The following is a 21347-nucleotide window of genomic DNA, read 5'->3' as shown; positions in this document are numbered from 1 at the left end:
TATCAGTATCAATTCACAGCCTGGTTTGCAGCCTATTCACTCACATTCTCACCAACACTTGATGTTTTCAAGCCTTATGTTTTTATCACTTGGGTAAAAAGTTGCATTACATAGTAGGTATAATTTGCATATAGCTACATATTGAGTAGATATTTCTATTTCCTCTTCTATGGATTACCTGTTTTTTAACCTATTTTTTATTTTTTTCATTTAAATTGATTTTATAGCTATATATATAGAGATATATATCAGATATATTTCTATATATCTATAGATATATACATAGATATCTGATTCTTTCTCTGCTATTTATGTTGCAAATATCTTTCAGCTTGTGAATTGTCTTTCAACTTTCTTAATGGTGTCTTTGTAGAAGTTTTATGTTTTATTTAGTCATATTTATTCCTCTTTTTCTTCATGGCTTTTAGTTTTTGTGTTTTTAAGGTGGCTTTTCTTATACCAAGTTAATAGAACATATTTGCCCATATTTTATTTTAATTATTCTGTAATCCATGTGCATTTAAAGTATTTGCGAATGGTTTTAGATAAGGGCAATGGGCAGCCAGTTGTCTCAACATTTATTGACTAGGCCATTTTTCTCGACTGCTTTGAAATGACTCTTTAACCTGCACTAAATAGTATCTGTTTAACAACTCTATTCTATTCCATTGGTTCACTTTTCTTGTTCTGGTCTGTTTAATTTTTTGCAACAACTATAACAGCGTACCATAGTGTTAATGTATACTATTTTATTTAACTAGTATTGTCATAATGGTCATTTAGGTTATTTCTGTATTTTTGCTTTTATAAACAATGATGAAATGGCGTTATTTTCCCCTCCCAAATAAAATAGACTTTATATTTTTCCCTGATTTGACACAGATTCTAAAATACATTATTCTGAATTTCTCTTGGTAAATTCTGTCCAGTTCACTAACTTATCCTGTCAACAGATGGTTCTAATTTCCATGTTATGATTTTGGCAACTTCAGCTCAAGACAAAAATAAAGTAGGAGAGTTATTGTGGTACAGAATCCTCAGTTCTCCTTTTCTCCCTTGCCTTTGCCCTCCATAGGCACGTGACGATCTGCTGTTCACACTCTGGCCTGCAGTAGAGAGGTCTTACTCCCTCACACCCCCACTAGCACTAGGGACTTGTCTCACTGACTTGCCCCTATCCTCACCTCCAGAGGAACCTCTCTTTACTCATTATTCCTTGCTTTTCTTTATAGTTTTACTACATGTTTATACTCTACACAATATATATTTCGTTTCACAGGCTCTTGAACTTTATATAAGTAGAGTCATTATGAATTTATTTTTCTGTGACTTTTATCATTCAATATCATTGCTTAAGATTCACCTATTTATTTTCACCGCTGTACAGTATTTCATTGTATGTATATATTATAATGCATTTGTTTATTCTTCTGTGGAATACTATCCTCATTATGTATCAAGTTATTGTATTGTAAACAATGCTGTTTTTGCATTTGTATATTTGTACAAGATTCCTGGTTCTCAGGGACAGGAGTTTCTCTAGGGCATATATTTGGAAGCGAAATTGCCGTACGGTTAGATATGAACATCTTCAAATTTGCTAGGTAATGCCAGATTGTTTTCCAAAGTTCTAGTTGCAGTTGCTGCATGTCCTCACCAATTTTTCCCCTAGAAAAATCCAGTCTATTGGGTGGGTATCATTTGTTCTAAAATGTTTACCTTTGTTTTTTTTTTTTTGAGACGGAGTTTCACTCTTGTTGCCCAGGCTGGAGTCCAATGGCACGATCTTGGCTCACTGCAACCTCTACCTCCCAGATTCAAGCGATTCTCCTGCCTCAGCCTCCCAAGTAGCTGGGATTATAGGCGCGCACCACCACGCCCTGCTAATTTTTGTGTTTTTAATAGAAACGAGGTTTCACCATGCTGGCCAGGCTGGTCTCAAACTCCTGACCTCAGGTGATCCACCCACCTCAGCTGGGATTACAGGCATGAGCCCCTGCACCAGGCCTTAAAATGTATTTCTTATAATGAAATTCAGCATATTTTCATATGTCGACACATTTCATAGGTGTGACTCATTCATGTTTCCTCATCTGACGTGTCCATGTCTGTTGGTCATTTTTCAGTTGGTTGTTTGTCTTTTTCTTAATTGATTTATAGGAGTTCTTTATTCTGGAGCCTAAGTATCACATCTCTTAAACGTTTTTCCAGTTTGTGACTTGTCTTTACACTTTGTATGGAGTTTTTGAATAACAGAAGTTCTGAATTTTAATGAGGTAGATTTTTTTTTCTCTATGGTTTGTACTTTTCATATGTATCTTGTGTTATTTTAAGAAATTCTTATTCAAGACTATAAAGATAATTCTATATAGACTAACATTTTCTTATAGTTTGCTTCCCACAATTAAATATTTAATGCAGCTGGAATTAATTTTGGTGTAAGATTGAGGTAGAAGTCCAATTTTACTTCTAAATGGATAGCCAGCTGTCCCAGAATCATTTATTGAAAAGTCTGTCCTTTCCCAAGTGAACTGCAATGCCATCTGTAACCTAAAGCAGATTTACACATATGCATGGAACTGTTTATAGCCTCTCTATTCTGCTCCGTCAGTGATATGACCAACCCTGCATTGATAAATAGTTTTAATCACGCCACCTTTGTAATAATTCTTGATGACTTTTCTTTCATCAGGAATGTTTTGGCTTTCTTTTTTTTTCCCTGAGACAAGGTCTCACTCTGTCGCCCATGCTGGAATGCAGTGGCACAATTGCGGTTCACTGCAGCCTCAACTTCCTGGGCTCAGGTGATTCTCCCACCTCAGCCTCCCAAGTAGCTGGGACTACAGGCTCACACCACCACACCTGGTTATTTTTTTTTTTTTTTTGTAGAGATGGGGTTTTGCCATGTTGCCTAGGCTGGTCTCGAACTCCTGGACTCAAAGGATCTGCCTGTCTCAGCCTCCCAAAGTGGTGGGATTAGTTTGGGCTATTTTTGACCCTTTGCTTTCACACATGAAAGTTTGTCAAGTTTCTTGAATAAAACCTATTGGAGTTTTGATTGGCTCTACATTGAATCTTTAAGTCAATTCGGAGAAGTGACATTTTTATGATATCCAATCATTCTATTCATTTAATTCTTCCTTAATGTGTTTTTTTAATAGTTTTTCATATAGGTTCTGTATATCTTTCGTTAGGTTTAGTCCTAGGTACTTATGTATTTTCATTGCTACTCTAAAATGTGTCATTTTATAAATTGCATTTTCTGTTTGTTGATGAAAATGAATAGAATTAAGTTTTGTATATTGATTTTGTATCCAGCAGACCTGCTTAATTCTTACCAGTTTTCCCAGTTTATCTGTAGATTCTTCTGGGTTTCTTAGGTTGAAAATCATTTAATCTATAAATAATAATGAACTTATTTCTTAATTTTCAAGCCATACACTGTGTATTTTGTTTTCTTACCATACCATGCTAGGTGGAATGACTTACACAGTGCTGAATGAAAGTGTGATCGTGGACTTCCTAGACTTAATGAGAATGATTTAAACATTTTGTCATTAAGATAGAGGCTTAATGTGTGTTTTTGCAGCTCTCCGTTCCTTAACAGTTTTATCTTGACTATATGTTGAGTTTCTCCATTTTTAGCATTTATATGGATAGTTACAGGTTTTTCTCCTTTAGGCTGTTAATTTCATAAATTAGTTGATTTCCAGATATTAAAATAACCTTGAATTCCTGGAATAAGCTGAATTTGGCTGTGATATATTATCTTTGATATGTATTACTGGATTTGATTTGCTAATATTTTGTTTAGGAGTTTTGCATCTATGTCTATGAGTAAATTAGCTAGGGCTGTTTTTTCTAAAATTCTCTTTGTCATATTCTGATTCTGAGGTCATGCTACACTCACAAAAGAGTTGGAATATATTTGCTCTTTTTTATACTCTGGACTAGTTTGCATAGGGTTGTTTGTAAGGTGCTGTGAAAATAAATAAGGTGTTCTCTAAGTGTACAAACGGTGGTGCTGGCAGAGGGCTGCAGGAAGGGAAGGCGAAGCTGCACCCACAATGTGTCTCTCCCTGTGAAGACAAAGCACTGGGCCGGGCACAGTGTCTCACACCTATAATCCCAGCACTTTGGGAGGCTGAGGTTGGCGGCTCACTTGAGGTCAGGAGTTCAAGACCAGCCTGGCCAACACGGTGAAACCCCACCTTTACTAAAAATACAAAAATTAGCCAGGCATAGTGGTGCACACCTGTAATCCCAGGTACTCGGGAGACTGAGGTGGGAGGATTGCTTGAGCCTGGGAGGCAGAGGTTGCAGTGAGCCGAGATTGTGCCACTGCACTGCAGCCTGGGCGACAGAGCAAGACTCCCATCTCAAACAAAACAAAAAAAAAGACAAAGGGATCCAATGTAATCAACCTGCCACCTGGTAACTGGCTGTTTTCCCTGCTAGTGATGTAGCATTAGCTACCACTCCGGGCATTCTGGATGCTCCGCATCTGTGGCAGCCAGGTCACCTTGGTGAGGAGCAGTCATGTTGTTGAGCCCCTGCCTGTTGAGGTCATCCTTGCTACATGGCCCACTGAAGAACCACTGGAATGACTAGGAAAGAAGATTATTGACAGCCACTAAGTCGAGCATTTTTCCCACCTGATTTTTGAGACCTCTTCCACAGTGAACGTCCCCTAGCAAGCATTTATAGTGAAATAAATATCTTCACATTGTGTGCACATCCTGAAAAGTCCATCCACATGCCTCCTTGTTACTCTTTCTAAGTCCCCGGCCAATACCCATTAGGTATCTTGTCTTCCAGGATGTCCTGTGTGAAGATATACTGTTTCCAATGCTGTCAACTAGGAGGATTCTCCTGCGGTCTTTCAGGAGCACTTCTGAGTGGGCTGTAGTGTTGCAGTTACCCACTTCTGGGTAGCGCTGGCATACTTGACGTATTAGCAATCCTGGCTAATTTCATGTTTAAACCAATCCTATACATACTCCTTTTGATTGACAATAGAGAATTATCCATGAAGCTCTAGCTCTAGGTGTAGGTTGAGGAAGAGGCAGTGAAAGAGTGGGATCATGCTCCATGGAGTATGAGCCACCTGCTTGCATTGTTTACATGGGCTTCAGGACTGGTTTCATCTATGTCGTTTTTTTTTTGTTTGTTTGTTTGTTTGTTTTTGTTTTTGTTTTTTATGAGATGGGGTCTCACTGTGTCGCCCAGGCTGGAGTGCAGTGACTTGATCTCGGCTCACTGCAAGCTGCGCCTCCCGGGTTCACAGCATCCTCCTGCCTCAGCCTCCCGAGTAGCTGGGACTACAGGCGCCCACCACCACACCCGGCTAATTTTTTGTATTTTTAGTAGAGACGGGGTTGCACTGTGTTAGCCAGGATGGTCTGGATCTCCTGACCTTGTGATCTACCTGCCTCAGCCTCCCAAAGTGCTGGGATTACAGGCGTGAGCCATCACACCCAGCCCTCATCTATGTCATTTTGATTTGACAGTGGAATGCTACTGCGTACATCCAGTTTCATCTCTATGGATCAGGTAACACCCATAATGTGAGCTGACAGAGTCACTTGGTGTCCTGTGGTCAAGCATTCAGTCTTTATCAGGGTGTAGTAGCAAGCCAAGTGTTGTTTTTTAGGTGGCTAATAGTTGTAGGCAGAAGAACGCATGACCTTACTCCAAAGCCCTAGTGGTCCACTCCCAGGGGTCTGCTCTGTGATTTTCCTACTGCTGCCTGTCAGAGGCTCCATTGATCACCTGTCTGCCTCAGGCACTTCCCTTACCCTTGGTTCTGCTAAGTTATATGATCCAGGTGTCGGGGCAGCTTATCCAGTGGCCTGGACCTGCTGCAGGGCCTTTTGTTTGCTTTGGTCCTCACTCAAAACTGGCAGTAAATAGAGACAGCAGCATACCCATGGCCTCCAAAGTTTAGAGAGGCCCATGATTATCATGTTTCTTTCCTTATGTTGGGCATTTCAAGATGCAATAACATGTCTCTGACTTTAGAGGGGATATCCTGACATGCTCCAGACCAGTGGATACTCTAAAAACGTCACAGATGTGGCATTCCCTTGAACTTTCCCAGGACTTATTGGCCACCTTCTACATACATGTAGCATCAAGAGTGCTTGCCACTTCTTGCATAAGTCCACTTAGCACTGTATCATCAATGTGATAGCCAGTGTGTTGCTCTGTGGGACAGACATCAAGAGATTTAAGGTCCCTCTTGCCTCTATTGAAGGACATAGCAGAGTTGACACAGCCATAAGGCAAGACAGTAAAGACAGTATACTGTTGTCCCTGTCACATGAAAGTTAACTGATTCTCATTATCTTTATTAATAGGGATTTTAGGAAAGTGTCTAGGTTGACACCTATATACTATAGATGTCTGGGGCTGTGTTGATTTGCCCTAGTAAAGAGCCCACAACTGGAACTATAGCTATGCATGGTACCATCACCTGATTATATTTGCAATAATCTACCGTCATCCTTGACAGTCCACATGGCTTTTCAGAAAAACAGGCAAGTTATACTGGAATGTGGTAAGAATCACTACCCCTACAACTTTGAAATCTTTGATGGTGGCATTAATTTCTGTAATTTCCCCAGAAAGATTTTTAGAGGGGAAGTGGTATAATTATAGCGGTTCTGCCTGATCTCTCTAATACCCTAATAACCTGAACTCCATGGGTGGTGGAAGCAGAGGGGAGAATTTTGCAGGTTACTAAGCAGGTCTGTTCTCACCATACATTCTGAGACCATGGAAATAACTAGAGGTAGGTCTGTGGTTTAGCTGGATTCGGTGTGAGGTAGCTCCTAGGCCAAGACTTCATGTGTCACCTGGTTTCTTAAGTCCCTCCTCTGGCCAGTAGACTATGGTGGCATTGTTAGATCTCCAGAAATTAGTGTCAGTTCAGAGCCAATATCGGATAAGTACTTATCTAAGTACAGTCATTGTTGTGAATAGCTTCAGGTACCTCTAGGGGAGGCTTAGGGGAAGATTTACTGTACACACCTGTGGCTACATTGCAGGATTCATTCTCAAAGGGCTCAGACCTTCCCCTCAAGAAGTTCTTGCTCTGTGAACTGGCCTAGGCTTAGGAGCTGGATAAGAGGCCATGAATCCCCTATAATGACAGTAGTTAGGTTTTCTGTCTATTTATATTAAGCTCACTTAGTAGGCTGCCTATGTATTTTCCACAGGTCCTGTGATTCATTAACCACCACCACACATCCTGAAAGTAAGAAAACAAAAAACAAAAAACAGAAAATGGATACCACGGCATCCCTGTGGCTTACTATGATTATCATGCCTAGCTTGTCTCCAAGAGTTAAGCACTGCTATTTGCTTTTACTGCTCCAGGACCCCAGTATTCCCAGTGAGATCAGGAAACCCAATTCCATTGCACCATCCCTGTTATCCCTGGTCATCTCAGCCTACAGATGACAACCACTACAGAGCTCTTCAGAGATGCTGGTGCCCCATCAAAGTATGCTTTTTAAATGCCTTAGTGAACAGAGTGTCCTCCAAGGCAATTAAAAGGTGGCTGAGCAAATTGTATGTAATAGATCCATCCCGACAGTCCCATCTCATGGAGCTTTTAAGCTCCCTCTCCAGTGTGCCAGAGAAGTGCCCTTTTTCTGAGTCCTACACACATGGCACATTCTCACGCTCTCATTCTTTTCACATCCTGTTGAGATGTTACAGTCTCAGGGAGGCTTTCCTGGACATTTTATTCAAAATCAACACCTTCCCACTGCCAGTGGTGCTCCTCCCTCTTCTCTGCTCATTCACTCTATAGCACTTATCAGCATCTGACTTACTGTGTAACTATGTGTTTGTCTGATTTAGGAAGGAGTAGTGTGACCCAGGAGTCCCCAGACCACTCTCTGATATCCTAGTGAATCTGCCACTAGCACAGCACTGACTTTGGCCTGTGTTCTTTGGCTGCTTCTAGGTATATAGGCTGCTTTTCAAGCCATTGCATACAGTTTTTGTGTGTTGTTCATAAATTGGATGCATTTACAATGTCCTCCATTTTGGGGAAAGTTGCTGCCTGCCTTCACATTTCCTTAAAAGTGTCTTTATATCAATCATCAGAGCATTGCAAAGTGTGCCTCAAATTATAGAACTGACTGTAGAAATTCGAGAGGGTATCAACATAGTAACTGTGTATTATGTGGTTGACATTAAGACATCCAATTAAAACCTTTTTAAACTTAATTCCCCCCTCTTTTTTACTTTAAAAATATGGGAAAGCATGATTCATGCATGAAAAACAGATAAATGAGACTACTAAAGGCTTTCATTGATAAGAATGAATAAATAAAACAAAGCCACACTTGCAGTAGAAGTCAATTAAAAGACCAGAAGGGTGGTAAGTACATTTAAACATGCCATTCTTTATCTGCAGTGGCCAACTTTTTTCATTATTGTGATAATTAAAAGAATATTAAGAGACACTGACTTTTGAACTATTTATGAATTTTAGGTCAAGAAGCCATCCAACCTAAACTTTTTCCCATTACTAATGAGTGTATGTATTATAACAATGTCATACAACCCCTTTGACAGTTCAAATTAGGAGAACGAAGACTAATCTAAACTGAGAGATTCTTGATTAAAATGACCATGACCTCTCAAGTGTGGAAGTTCCAAGTTGACTTTTTATTAGAATGAAACAGCTGTATGTTTCTTTCAAAGGGTAAGTTATTCATCCCACAGAAATTTACTAAATGCCTACTGTGTACTAAGCACTGTGCTAACTGCTAGGTAGTCAATGGTGAACAAGTTCCTGCCTTTATGCAGCTTCCAGTCTAGTGGCTTAACAGACCTAATCAAACAAATGAGGTATCAGGATAGGGAGAGGACACGAACATGTACAGGAGGGCACCTAACCCTGCCTTAGGACAGCAGGGGGCGCTTTCTGGAGAAAGTGATGTCCAAGCTGGAATGAGAGGGATGGGTGATGATAGTAGCAGTAGCCAACACTCATGTTGTGTGTGCTGGGTGTACTTTTAAATGGTCGAGCTCATTTAATCTTCATAACAATCTTATGAGACAGATGAAGAAAGTCCACAAAGAGATTTTTAAAAATTTGCCCTCAGTCACAGAACTAGGAAGTGGCAAAGTCAGCATTTAGACCAAGCTGCTGGTGTAACCCCAGAGCCTACGCTGATGTGTTTCAAACCTTTTGACTGTGACCCACAGTCAGAAATGCCTTTTATGTCATGACCCAGTATATATATACACACACACACACACACACACACACGTACGTATATATATATACACACACACACCCCTAAAACAAGAGTTTCACAGTTTCACAAAACAATGTTTATTGACAGTGTACTCTGATCTATCTTAGTCATTTTACTTTTTAAAAAAATTTAGATGTGACCCACAAAATTTATTTCACTACCCACTAATTGGTCACAACCCACATTTTGAAAAACAGTTCACTGCACTATTTTGCCTACTACGCAGAATGAGCCAAACCAAGTGAGGAGAGAAGAGAATCTCAGGCAGCATGAACAATGTGAGAGGCTGGGGTGGGAGGAACAGGAGGAGTGGGCAAGAGAGACTTGGCCAGTTGGGAGAATGGAAGGAAGTTTAGCAGAGCCTCAGGATGAGGTGGATGGCAGGAGAGGCCTTGAAGAGGTGAGCAAGGTCTTATATGTAAAGGTGACCATATTGCTTCCCGGCCTTTGGGCTAAGATCAGGTGTAGAAGAGGTGGCCATATGTTTATTGTTCAGTCAGGCCACTTTAGAGAGTGAAAGTGAAAAATTATGCCAGGGTAACAGATGTAAACCTGGAGCTTCCCTGGCAAAGTGGCACGTAGGATAAGCCATGTTGAGGAGTTTTTATTGCGTCTGAAAAACAATGGGGAGCCTTTGATGTGTTTTAAGCAAGGACATGATACAGCCAGATCCTTGCTGTAGGAAGATGACTGTGAATGCATTGTAAAGAAAGGACTGGAGGTGAGCAAGTTAGGGAAGCAATCAGGGGTCAAAACAGAATTAGAGACTTAGGACATTCCTAAAATGAAGCTCTGATCAGTCACAATTCTGAGAAGCTCCCTTAGGATAAAGTTCTAACAACTTAGTGTGGCAGGTAAGCTCCTTCCCACATTGGCCTGTGCTCACCCCTGCAGCCTCACCTTTAACCTCCTTTCTTCCCCCAGCCTCTGATGTTCCAGCTTGGTACACTGAACTGCTTCCCCCAAACACCATATTCTCTCATGCTTTGCATACTTCTCAGCAGGGAAAACCCTCCCCTTGCCTCCGTCCTCCATTCCTATTCATTTGTCTGAATCTTGCTCATTCTTGGGATTTAGCTAAGATGTCACTTTTCCCAGAAAGCCTTCACTGGCATTTGGAAGGCAGGGGCTATTGTTCTCCTCCTCTGGGCTCTGAAGACACCCTGTGCCTGCCTCAGATCTGGTGCCGATTCTGCTGGGTTGTCCTTGCCTGTTATTTCCCTCACCATCAAACCAAAGCCACTGTAGTTTTTTGAGAGCAAGGGCTGTGTCTTGTTCATCATTCTAGTTTCTGCCTCTAATCCAGAGCTTAGTACATAGTAAATGCCCCAGTAAATGTCTGTTAGCTGAATAAGTATCATTGGAAATGCCCCTCAATTGAATACAGCCATCCTCTCAGTGCTTTTTGTATTTTTTGCATATACTTTAGAAGTGTCTTCAAAGAAGATTCATCATGGCTTTTTAAAAGAAGAGCAGCATGGCCAGCACACTGGGAGTCCTCTAAGCTCACCAGCGAGGTTCCCCACCAGCAGGGCTGTCTTTTGAAATTTTGTAGAACTTTCCTCATCCCTAGTTGACACTTGATTGTTAACATTAGCTAAAGAGAGTCTATTGAAAAGGAGGAAGTGCTCAAAACACATAGAATTTTAAATAATGTTTAAGGAAATAGTGAGGGAATGCATGTGGGCATTGGCACTGGCCCCGATATTATTTATTTAGGTTTTCCTTTCATACCACTTCAAGTCTGATCTGAAGCCAGGATCTGTCTGTAGTGTGGCAGGAACCCAGAGATGTAGCATTGATTTCCCCCGAGTTTCTAGATGTTGGGGTATTCACTGAAATTAGTAGGTTGTAGAGGGCTACAAGTGAATGAGGAAAGGCTAGAGGGCAGAGAGCAGACTGAGGAGCTGTCTTAGTAGTAACTTAGAAGAGGTGGTTGGAGAAAGGACAGAGGGCCGTCTGGCAGCTGGAAGAGCCCCCCAAAGGCAAGATGGCATCTTATTCATGCTTAGTTGTGGACACAATATTTTCAAGCCATGACCTCAAGTGTGCCCAAAGGAGTAGCTATATGTCTGTAATTCAAAAAAAAACAAACAAACCAAAATCTTAAATTTCCTGTGGCAGAAAATACAACCTTGGTTATTCTGTTTTCTTAGTTACTTCCATCTTAAACTCAGTCAATTCAGGATTTCCTGTTTTCTCCCTCTTGCTCTTGAGAACGACCTCAAAGTTCTGGGGACCTGCTTGGCATCATAACTTTGGGGATGGGGGAAATATCTGGTCCGTGGGTTGTTGGGCATCTCTTCACACTGACTTCTGCTAAGGGGAAACTGATCCCATTGTTTTTAATTGTGCAGCTGTGTTTCTGCCCACATTAATTGATACGTTAGCAGCACTGCCCTGCTTAGCACAGTTAAGCCATGCACTCTGCATCTTCCATGTCCCCAACCTGAGGCCCTTTCACTTCTGCCACCCTCGCTCAGCTAATTCTCTAATGCGCAAAAACTGCTAGTCTCTCACACATCTCACATAGTAAGGGACTTTGAGTGACTGATGCAGATATTCCCTTCCCACACCCTCCCAACTCCTACTTCCGTTCTATTTCTTCCATCCTTCAGCTGTGAGGTGAAGAGGGTTGAGGGAATTCTGCAGTGTTGCTCACTTTTTCAGGCTCCACCTGGGAAACAAATAGAAATCTTCTTCGCCCTCAGAATGAAAGAAGAATGAGGGGGAATTTTTCTCTATTTCATTCACAGAACACTCAGTACCTAGAACAGTGGCTAGCTAATAGTAGGTGCTCAAGAAATACTTGTTGGATAGATGGATGACCAGCCCCTCCCTGGTCTCCCCAGCTCCCAAGACTTAGCCCTTGACAGACTCGAGATGCAAGGCCTCCCTCGCCAGGGACATCCTTGGTGCCCTTGCCAGGATCTGACTCTTGCTGCAGATCTCTATCCTCAGGATTCTCAGTCTGGGCTAGAAGCTTATATGGAGGGGTGGGCATGAGGGGAGGGGGAAGCTCAGCCAGTATACTTCCCAAATCTTTATCTGTTACATACGAGTCTAGTTTTTGTTTGTTTAAGTCTTTCATCTCCTAGACACATCATGTGCCTTCCCCTTGGGCAATAGTGGCTTCATCTTTAGGAGCCTGTGCTTGGGGAAGGGCCTTGGGGATTCAGTGACATGTGGAGTTGTGGGGAGGGAGACCATGTCTGTTAATCCTCCACTTGTTATCCTTTCACCTTTGTACACCCAGTTCCTAACACGGTACCCAGCACATAGTAGACTTTGAATTAATTTTTGTTGAACTGAATATTGGATGAATCAGAAATTGGTAATGTATTGAAGAGAAAAGAGCAAAAGGTTGGGGATGTCCTGAGGTTAAAGAGGGAAATGGGATATTGAGAAGTGCTCAGGATTATCAATTTTTTTTTTTTTTTTTTTTTTGAGACAGAGTCTTTGTCACCCAGGCTGAGTGCAGTAACTCCTAGGGTCAAGTGATCCTCCCACCTTAGCCTCTCAAGTAACTGGGACTAGAGGCATGTGCCACCTCGCCTAGCTAATTTTTTACTTTTTTGTAGAGACAGGGTCTCGCTATGTTGCCCAGGCTGGTCTTGAACTCCTGGACTCAGACAGTCCTCCCACTTCAACCTCCCAAAGTGCTGGGATGACAGGCATGAGCCACTGCACTCAGCCTTTTCTTTTGTTTTGTTTTTCTTTTTCTTTTCTTTTTTTTGAGACAGAGTTTTGCTTTGTCACTCAGGCTAGAGTGCAGTGGTGTGATCATGGGTCACTGCTGCCTCAACCTCTCAGGCTCAAGGGATCTTCTTGCCTCCATCTTCTGAGTAGCTGGGACAACAGATACATCCTACTATGCCCAGCTGATTTTTTTCTATTTTTTATAGAGACAGGGTCTCACTATGTTGTTTACACTGGTCTCATACTCTTGGGCTCAAGTGACCCTCCTGCTTCAGCCTCCCAAAGTGCTAGGATTACAAGCATGAGCCACCGCACCTGACCAGATCATTGATTCTTTGTTGAAACACTTCCATTCAATAAAGCCATATAATTTGTTAATAAAGCCTTCTGTTAATTTTGATACTGATGAGAAGTATTGCTATTATATTTATTGATTGGCAATATAGTAGGTGATCTCTAGACCCCAACTTAGTAAATTAACACCCTAAATTAGAGTCAAAACCCAGACATTGTTCAACTTGCTATAAGCATCAAGTGAAGCATGGTTATCAGCATCTAGGTGTTAATTGTAAAATAGTAAAATTCTGGAAGGAAAGATTGAGAAATTAGATTTTAATTCAGTAGATACTTAATGAGTTTCTCTCAGGCACTGTAATCAGCATGGATTTATGGCAGTAAACATGGCAGACTCTGCCTTCAAGGAGCTTCTGTTCTGGTGAAGATAGATAATAAACAAAACAATTATAGATTGTAACATGTGCTATGAAGGAAATAAACAAGGAGCTTCATGAAGCAATGATGGGAGCAACAACTTTAGTTAGGGTAGTCAGAGAAAGCCTTTATGCAGAGATGTTATGAGGTGAGACGAGAAGGATGAAGAAACCTGGAAAGGAACATTCCAAGCAGAGGGAAGCGCAAATCGAGAGATTCAGTTATGGAGAAAAGGTTAGTTTGCTTCTAGAATTGCAAGGAGGCCGTTGTGGCTAGAACGTAGCAAACGAGGGGATGGTGGTGTGAGAGATCAGAGAAAGACAGGCAGGGGCAATGGCATGTGGGCAGCGGAAGTCTTGTGGGGAGATTTAGACTGAGTTCCGAAGACAGCAGGAACATAAGAAGCAGAGGAGGGATAGAATCTGATTTGTATTTATTTAAACACAAATTGGGGAGGATAAATTGGAGATAGGGGAGGAAGTGCGAGCAGAAGCAGAAAGATAAGGAAGAAGCTATATTGACTATCCAAGTGACCGTGACCGAGGACAAAGGCACTGGCAATGGAAGAAAGTGGGCAGATTTGAGATAGACTTTGGAGTTTGGCCCTGAGGATTTCCTCATGACTGATTGTCAGAGTGATGGAAAGAAAGATGGCTCTTAGTGTTCTGCCTCTGAGAAGTGAGTGTGTGATGGCACTCTGTTGGGGATCAGAGAACAATACCCCAAAGCATGGCACTTGGGTGTGCCAAGTACTTTGAACTGAGGGACATCGGAAGAGCTTCAGAAGCAAAGGCTCTCCTTGCTCTTCTCTTGCCCTTCTTTCTCCTGTTTCCCTTTCTCTCTCAAGGCAGGCCATAGCAACTAGAATTCCTCTTCCCCAAGGTGGGTCATAGAAACTAGAAATACTACTTGAACCTTCCCCTGCCTTTCTGCGTAGGAGCCAGCTATAAAGAAATTCTCTGACCTACCTTGTGTGATAATAGGTTATAAGACCCTCATTCCAGAGGGGTCCTGCCCTGTACTGGGGAGGAAAGAATGTCACACAAAGAGACCAAAAAGAATCTGAACACACAGGCCTTGCTGGGTTTCCCCACCCAGACTATTAGCATCTGACCATTCCCTTTTGTCCAATCACATTTCTACATGGCTGTTAATTCTTCATCCAACCTAAGCTTAAAAACAGACGGTTTTCTCTGAGTCTTGAGTCTTTATCTCTGGAGACTCCCATGTCATATAAAATTGTGATTAAATAAATCTGTTATACTTTCCTCTTGTTAACATGTTTTTGTTACAGGAGTGCTGGCCATGACCCTCATGATGGGGAAGAAGGGTATCACACCTTTTTCACCCTATAGTTCTATTTACTGAGAAAGGGAGGGTGGAGGAGAGAATAGGTTTGGGGATATATGAAGAGCTACATTTTAGATGTCTTGTTACATTTGAGTTGGCTATGAGACACCCATTTAAAATCCTATATTTACTCTTCTGGGAATATTAAACATCAATGCACTAAAATAATTAAATCAGAACTTAGATGATTGTTTTCCCTATTTCTTTAATATGGCTCTCCTTCCTTGAAAAAACAAATTAAAAAAAAATGTTAACTGTGCTTTCTGGATGATGGTTGTATGTCTGCTGTGCAATTTAGAAATCTGAACCTTTCATTACTATTAAAAAAAAAACCACAACAAACCTTGAATGTAGGTCATTAACAAACATGCCCAGTCCCTTACTAAAATTCTGGGAGAAATCTAGTAGTCTTTGCTCATGTTTCTGATTACAGCTCAACATGTTTAAGTTACAGCTTCATTCTTCCTGAAGTTAGCAGTTTTAACAAAATGTAGGCATCTTCCTCTTTACATTACTACCTCCCATACAACAGAATATGATGCTTTAGAGGACTAGGCAAAGTAGACAGTGAATAAGCTTGTTTCTGATGGGTTGATTACGCTCATGCAAATGTTCTTTTTTCCTTTCTAAATATTTTGTAGTATCTCTTTGTATGAGTGTATGTGTCTGTAAGTGTGTAATATGATAGCACTATTGTACAACACAGCCACTCTAGAAGTGCCTTAGAGAGTTTTGCAGCAGATGTTTCTTTTGTATTGTTGGATCCACATGCAATGTGGCCTTAAGATAAGCAAAGGACTACAGCAATTACAAATCTTGATAAGCAAAGGGTTACAGCAATTACTACAGCAATTACAGAGCTCAGCCATGGCTCTTGCCAAGGTCAAATGTTTAGAATAAATACAGATTTAAAAGGTGTTTTGCTTCCTTGTAAGAATTTGACTCATTTAACTTAGGAGTGCTTAGTGCTTAGTAATGATAATTACCATTGCTTTGCTACCTATAAACTTGGAACAGCTTAATTATTCAGAAATAATCACTCAATTGTGATAAGTCTATGATAATCATATCTTAACTGTCATCTCTCTCCCTACTTTGGACCCTTATCATCCCCTGCCCGGGCTGTTAGAATACCTTTGTTAGTGACCTCCTCATCTGAGCCTCACTCCTATCTATCTGATCATGTCACTTCCTCTTCAAACAGCCTTTAATGGCATTTCATTGTCGCCAGGGTAAAAACTATACTACTGACTCCTTACATTTTCAGCAGTGTGGTGGACTAGACAACCTCAAGGTTCTCATGCCATTAAAAAGCAAACCTAGATTCTGGATGAAAGATATCTTTTAATGCATTGCTGCATCCATGGGAGCTAAAGGAAATCTCTAAGGGCGAAACAGAACAAAAATTGCACAAACCAAATAAACCCAAAGCTGAAACCTGATTGGAGCAGGGAGCTATGAATGTAAATGAATCCAAAGGCAGGTTTGCCTGAAGGCAAATGCTATATCAGTAACAAATCAGAAAACTAAGCCTCAAGCCAGTAGCAAGAGAGGAAGGTGGGCCTCAGACTTTTGCATGAAGTTAGAGCATTCAAGGAGGCTAAACTGACTCTAGGTCCCAGGCTCCTGAGAAAAACAAAGATCCTTTCTGGAAGAAAGCATGTGTAGGTTAGACACGCAGGATTCTTGCAGATTAATCTCATCCTGACATGATTGGAAGTTGCCAAAAGAATAAGAGAATAGAGAGGGGCTTCAAAATGGCTGCCTAAAGGCATCTTGGCAATCATCTCTTCCACAAAGAACCAAAATAGTAAGTAGATAATCACACTTCACATAGAACATCAAAATGAAAACACTGGAATTTAACAGAGAAATGACAGGAAACACCTAAGGCATAGGAGCAGAGGGAAGCAAGGCAGCCAGCTTGGCCAGGATTGGCTGGGAGCTTGGAGAGGCTCCCCAGTGTGGAAGTAAGTGAGAAATCCTCATGGCCAACATTCCTAGTATGGACTCCTATAACCTTAGCTACAGGAGAACTCCTCAACCTTGTGGTCCCCAAGACTAGCATAGGGAGCTGCCTAGAGACTGCAATAGATTGCTCCAGAGAGGGAGCTTGTGCTGGCTCCCACATATTCCCTAAGTCCTAAGCAGCTGTAGCACAGTGCCATTTTCAGAGCCCAGCCCCCACCAGACTACATCCTGACCTGGGACCTAACAGCCCCTGCATCTCCACATCCTGGGAGTCCTCCAACCCCCAACTACCCAGAAGGTTGCAGCAGTGTGCCACTGTTGGACCCAGCAGAAGTGACAGGGTCCCCAGTGATAGAGACAGGAGACAACCGAATGCTGCCCAGGTCATTGTGGACAGGAGGCTTGCCTAAACATGCCCACAGTGAAAAATTCTGTCTCTTAACACATGCGCAGTAAGGGAAGTAAATCAGCGTGGAGTGGCTCAGACTAAGAGCTTGCATGCGCACTGGACGAATGGGCTGGAGCCACCAGGAATTCACACCTTACGCTGCAGGGGAGTCTAGCCTCTTCAGCTCGTGTGTGGTGGCCTGGTATTCAATTTTTTTGAGGTGGAAAACCTGCGTGCAGGACCCGTCTTTTTTTGTTGAGACCTTTCTTTTCACTTAATAAATTCCGCCCTCCTCACCTTTCAATGTGTCTGTGTACCTACTTTTTCCTGGTCATGAGACAAGAACCTGGATTTTAGCTGAACTAAGGAGCAAAAAATCCTGCATCACCACCGCTCTAACACACAGTGTCCTGCAGCCCAGGGGAATGGAGGTGCACTAGGGAGGCTGCCCATGGCACAAAACAAGCCATAGTGCATGCTCCTTAGAGCCTGAGAACTACCTGCCTATGGCTGAAACCACTGTGAGCACACCCTCCCCTCCCCGCAATTGCGGTAGGGCCGAGGTATACTTGTGCACATACTAGGGACAGGCTCCCACCATCCACTGCCACCACTGCTGTAGCCACCTGAGCACTCCACTGCAGGGAGCCTGGAGATCACCCCACTACAGCCAGTGCCTGAGTATAAAACCAGAGGGCCTGAGAACAAGCCTGCGTGGCCTAGCACCAGTGACCTCCAGGGCCCAGACACACCACCTAGGGGCCTGGGGATTATCTTGCCCTGTCCATCATAGCTGGCATCTGTGCATTCCCTCTGGGGGCCTGAGGATGAGCCCACCCAGCCTGCCACTATCACCACAGCCAGCACATGCCACCTAGAGTCCTTGGGAGTGGACTGCACACTCCATCACAGCTACTGCTAACATCAATACATACCACTTTGGAGACCAACGGTTGTCCCACCACTGCTACTGCCATCACACACTGCCCAGGGGACGGAGGACTTGCCCACCCATCCAGCTCACCACTGCCACTGCTGGCTCCAGAACAAGCCACGTGGAAGCCCAAGAATAGGCCTGTTTGGACCTGCTTCCGTTAGTGTCTGTTTCTACTGCCCAGGGGCCCAAGGACAGGCACCCTCAGCTTGTTGTTGCCACCACTGGGGCCCAAGGACTGGCTGACTTGACACTCCTGTCCCGAGAAAAAGCTTGCCACAGCCCCCTACTAACAACCACAGCCTAAGCCACTGAGGAAATCACAGACACCACTGATGCTGTTTATAGCCAAAGAAATAATATGGAAGACTACACTACTGCATGCACCCAGAATCAAAGCTAACATGTCCTACCCAACCAACACCATAGATACATCCTCAGAAAGAAGTCTTCACCTACAAAAGCCAATCCAATACTTAACAATACAAAGAAATCAGAAAAACAATTCAGGATATAAATGAGAAATTTACCAGAGATAGATATTATAAAGAACAAAACCAAAATCCTAGAAGTGAAAAATCCAATGAATAAAATAAAAAAGTTATTAAAGAGCTTCAACAATAGACTAGAACAAGCAGAAGAAAGAATTTGGAAGCATGAAGATGTCTTTTGAAATAACCCCATCAGACACACTCAAAAAAAACCTATAATAAAGAATTTTTAAAAAGAACAAACAAAACCTATGTGTCATATGGAACACTATAAAGCAAACAAATATACACATCTGGGATGTTCAAGAAGGTGAAGAGACCAAAGGCATAGAAAACCTATTTAACAAAATAATAGCTGAAAACTTTCTAAGTCTATTAAGAGATTTAGACATCCAGATACAGGATGCTTAGAAATTCACAAATAGATACAACCCCAAAAGGTCTTCTTCATGACACACTATAACCAAACTGTCAAACATCAAAAACAGAGAATTCTAAAAACAAGAGCAAAGCATCTAGTCACATATGAGGGTACTCCTGTCAGACCAACAGCTGATTTATCAGCAGAAACTTTACAGACAAGCAGAGATTGAGTTGATATATTCAGTCCTGAAATAAAAGAAAAAAACTTTCCAGCCAAGAATACTATACCCAGCAAAGTTATCCTTCATAAATGAAGAAGTAGTCTTTCCCAAACAAGCAGAAACTGAGGGAATTCATCACCACTAGACCAACCCTACAAGAAATACTTAAGGGAGTCCTACACCTGGAAGCAAAATGTTGATTTCTACCATCATGAAAACCATGAAAGTATAAAACCCACTGGTAGAAAAGTCACCCAAATGAGGAAGAGAAAGGACTCAAATGCTACCACTACAGAAAACCACCCAACTACAGTGATAAACAATGAGAGAAAGGAACAAAGAATATACAAAGCAACCAGAAAACAATTAACAAAAAGACAAATAAGTCCTCACATTATCAATAATAACCTTGAAGGTAAAAGAATTAAAATTTCTGCTTAAATGATATAGACTGACTGAATGAATGGATGTTTAAAAACCCCAGAACCAACTATATGCTGCCTACGATAAACTCACTTTACCTGTAAAGACATACAGATTTAAGGGGTTGGAAAAAGATATTTCATGCTGATGGAAACCAAAATTGAGCAGGAATACCTATACTAATATCAGATGAAACAGACTTTAAGTCAAAAACAGTAAAAAGAGACAAGGTCATTATGTAACGATAAAGGGATTAATTGAGCAAGAGGATATAACAATTCTAAATATATATGTACCAACACTAGAGTACCCAGATATATAAAGCAAATATTATTAAATCTAAAAGGTGAGATAGGCTCCAATAATAGTTGGAGACTTTAACACCTCCTGCTCTCAGGATTAGACAGATCATCTAGACAGAAAATCAAAAAGAAACGTTGTATTTTAACTACACTTTAGACTAAATGGACCTAACAGCCATCTATAGAACATTTTATCCAACAGCTGCAGAACACAGTCTTCTCATCAGCATGTGGAACATTCTTTAGAACAGATAATAGGCCACAGACATATCTCAACATATTTTTAAAAATCAAAATTGTATGAAATGTCTTTTCAGACCACAATGGAATAAAACTAAAAATCAGTAACAAACTTTGGAAACTAGACAAATACATGGAACTTTAATAACATGCTCCTGAATGATCACTAAATGAATGAAGATATTAGGAAGGAAGTTTAAAACTTTCCTGACACAAATGAAAATAGAAATACAATATACCAGCCAGGCATGGTGGCTCACCTGTAATTCAGCACTTTGGGAAGCCAAAGTAGGAGGATTGCTTGAGCCCAGGAGCTTGAGATCAGTCTGGGCAACAAAGTGAGACCCCACCTCCACCATCTCTACAAAAAAATTTAAAAATTAGCTGGGCATGGTGGTCCCAACTACACGGGAGGCTGAGGCAGGAGGGTTGTTTAAGCCCAGGAGGTTGAGGCTGCAGTGAGCCACGTTCACACCATTGCACTCCAGCCTGGGCCACAGAGCAAGACCCTGTCTCAAAAAAGGAAAAAGAAAAGAAAAGAAAAAGAAAGAAACAGAGCATACCAAAATTAGTGGGACACAGCAAAAGCAGTAGTAAGAGGGGGAAGATTATAGCAGTAAACACCTATATCAATAAAGTAAAAAGACTTCAAACAATCTAACAACATACCTCAAGGAACTAGAAAGGGAAGAACAAACCCAAAAATAGAAGGAAAGAAATAATAAAGATCAGGGCAGAACTAAATGAAATAGAGACTAAAAAATACAGAACGTCAACAAAATGAGAAGTTGGTTGTTTGAAAAGATAAACAAAACCAATAAACTGCTAGCTAGACTAAATAAGAAAATAAAAAAGAAGATCCAAATAACATCAGAAATGAAAAAGGAGACATAACAACTGAGACCACAGAACCATAAAAGATCACCAGAGACTATTACGAACAACTATATGCTGATAAATTGGAAAACCTAGA

General features: G+C 41.5%; 1 protein-coding gene across 6 annotated transcripts in view; it reads left to right on the top strand.

The window, feature by feature from the left end:
• The window catches only part of ENTHD1 (ENTH domain containing 1), a 150717-nt gene that overhangs the window by 76580 nt on the left and 52790 nt on the right, over positions 1–21347 (top strand). The window lies entirely within an intron of this gene.

The sequence above is a fragment of the Homo sapiens genome, chromosome 22, assembly GCF_000001405.40.
Source record: "Homo sapiens chromosome 22, GRCh38.p14 Primary Assembly".
Lineage (NCBI taxonomy): Eukaryota > Metazoa > Chordata > Mammalia > Primates > Hominidae > Homo > Homo sapiens.
Note: the sequence above shows the minus strand (reverse complement) of the source record. Positions and strands in the feature narration are given on the sequence as shown.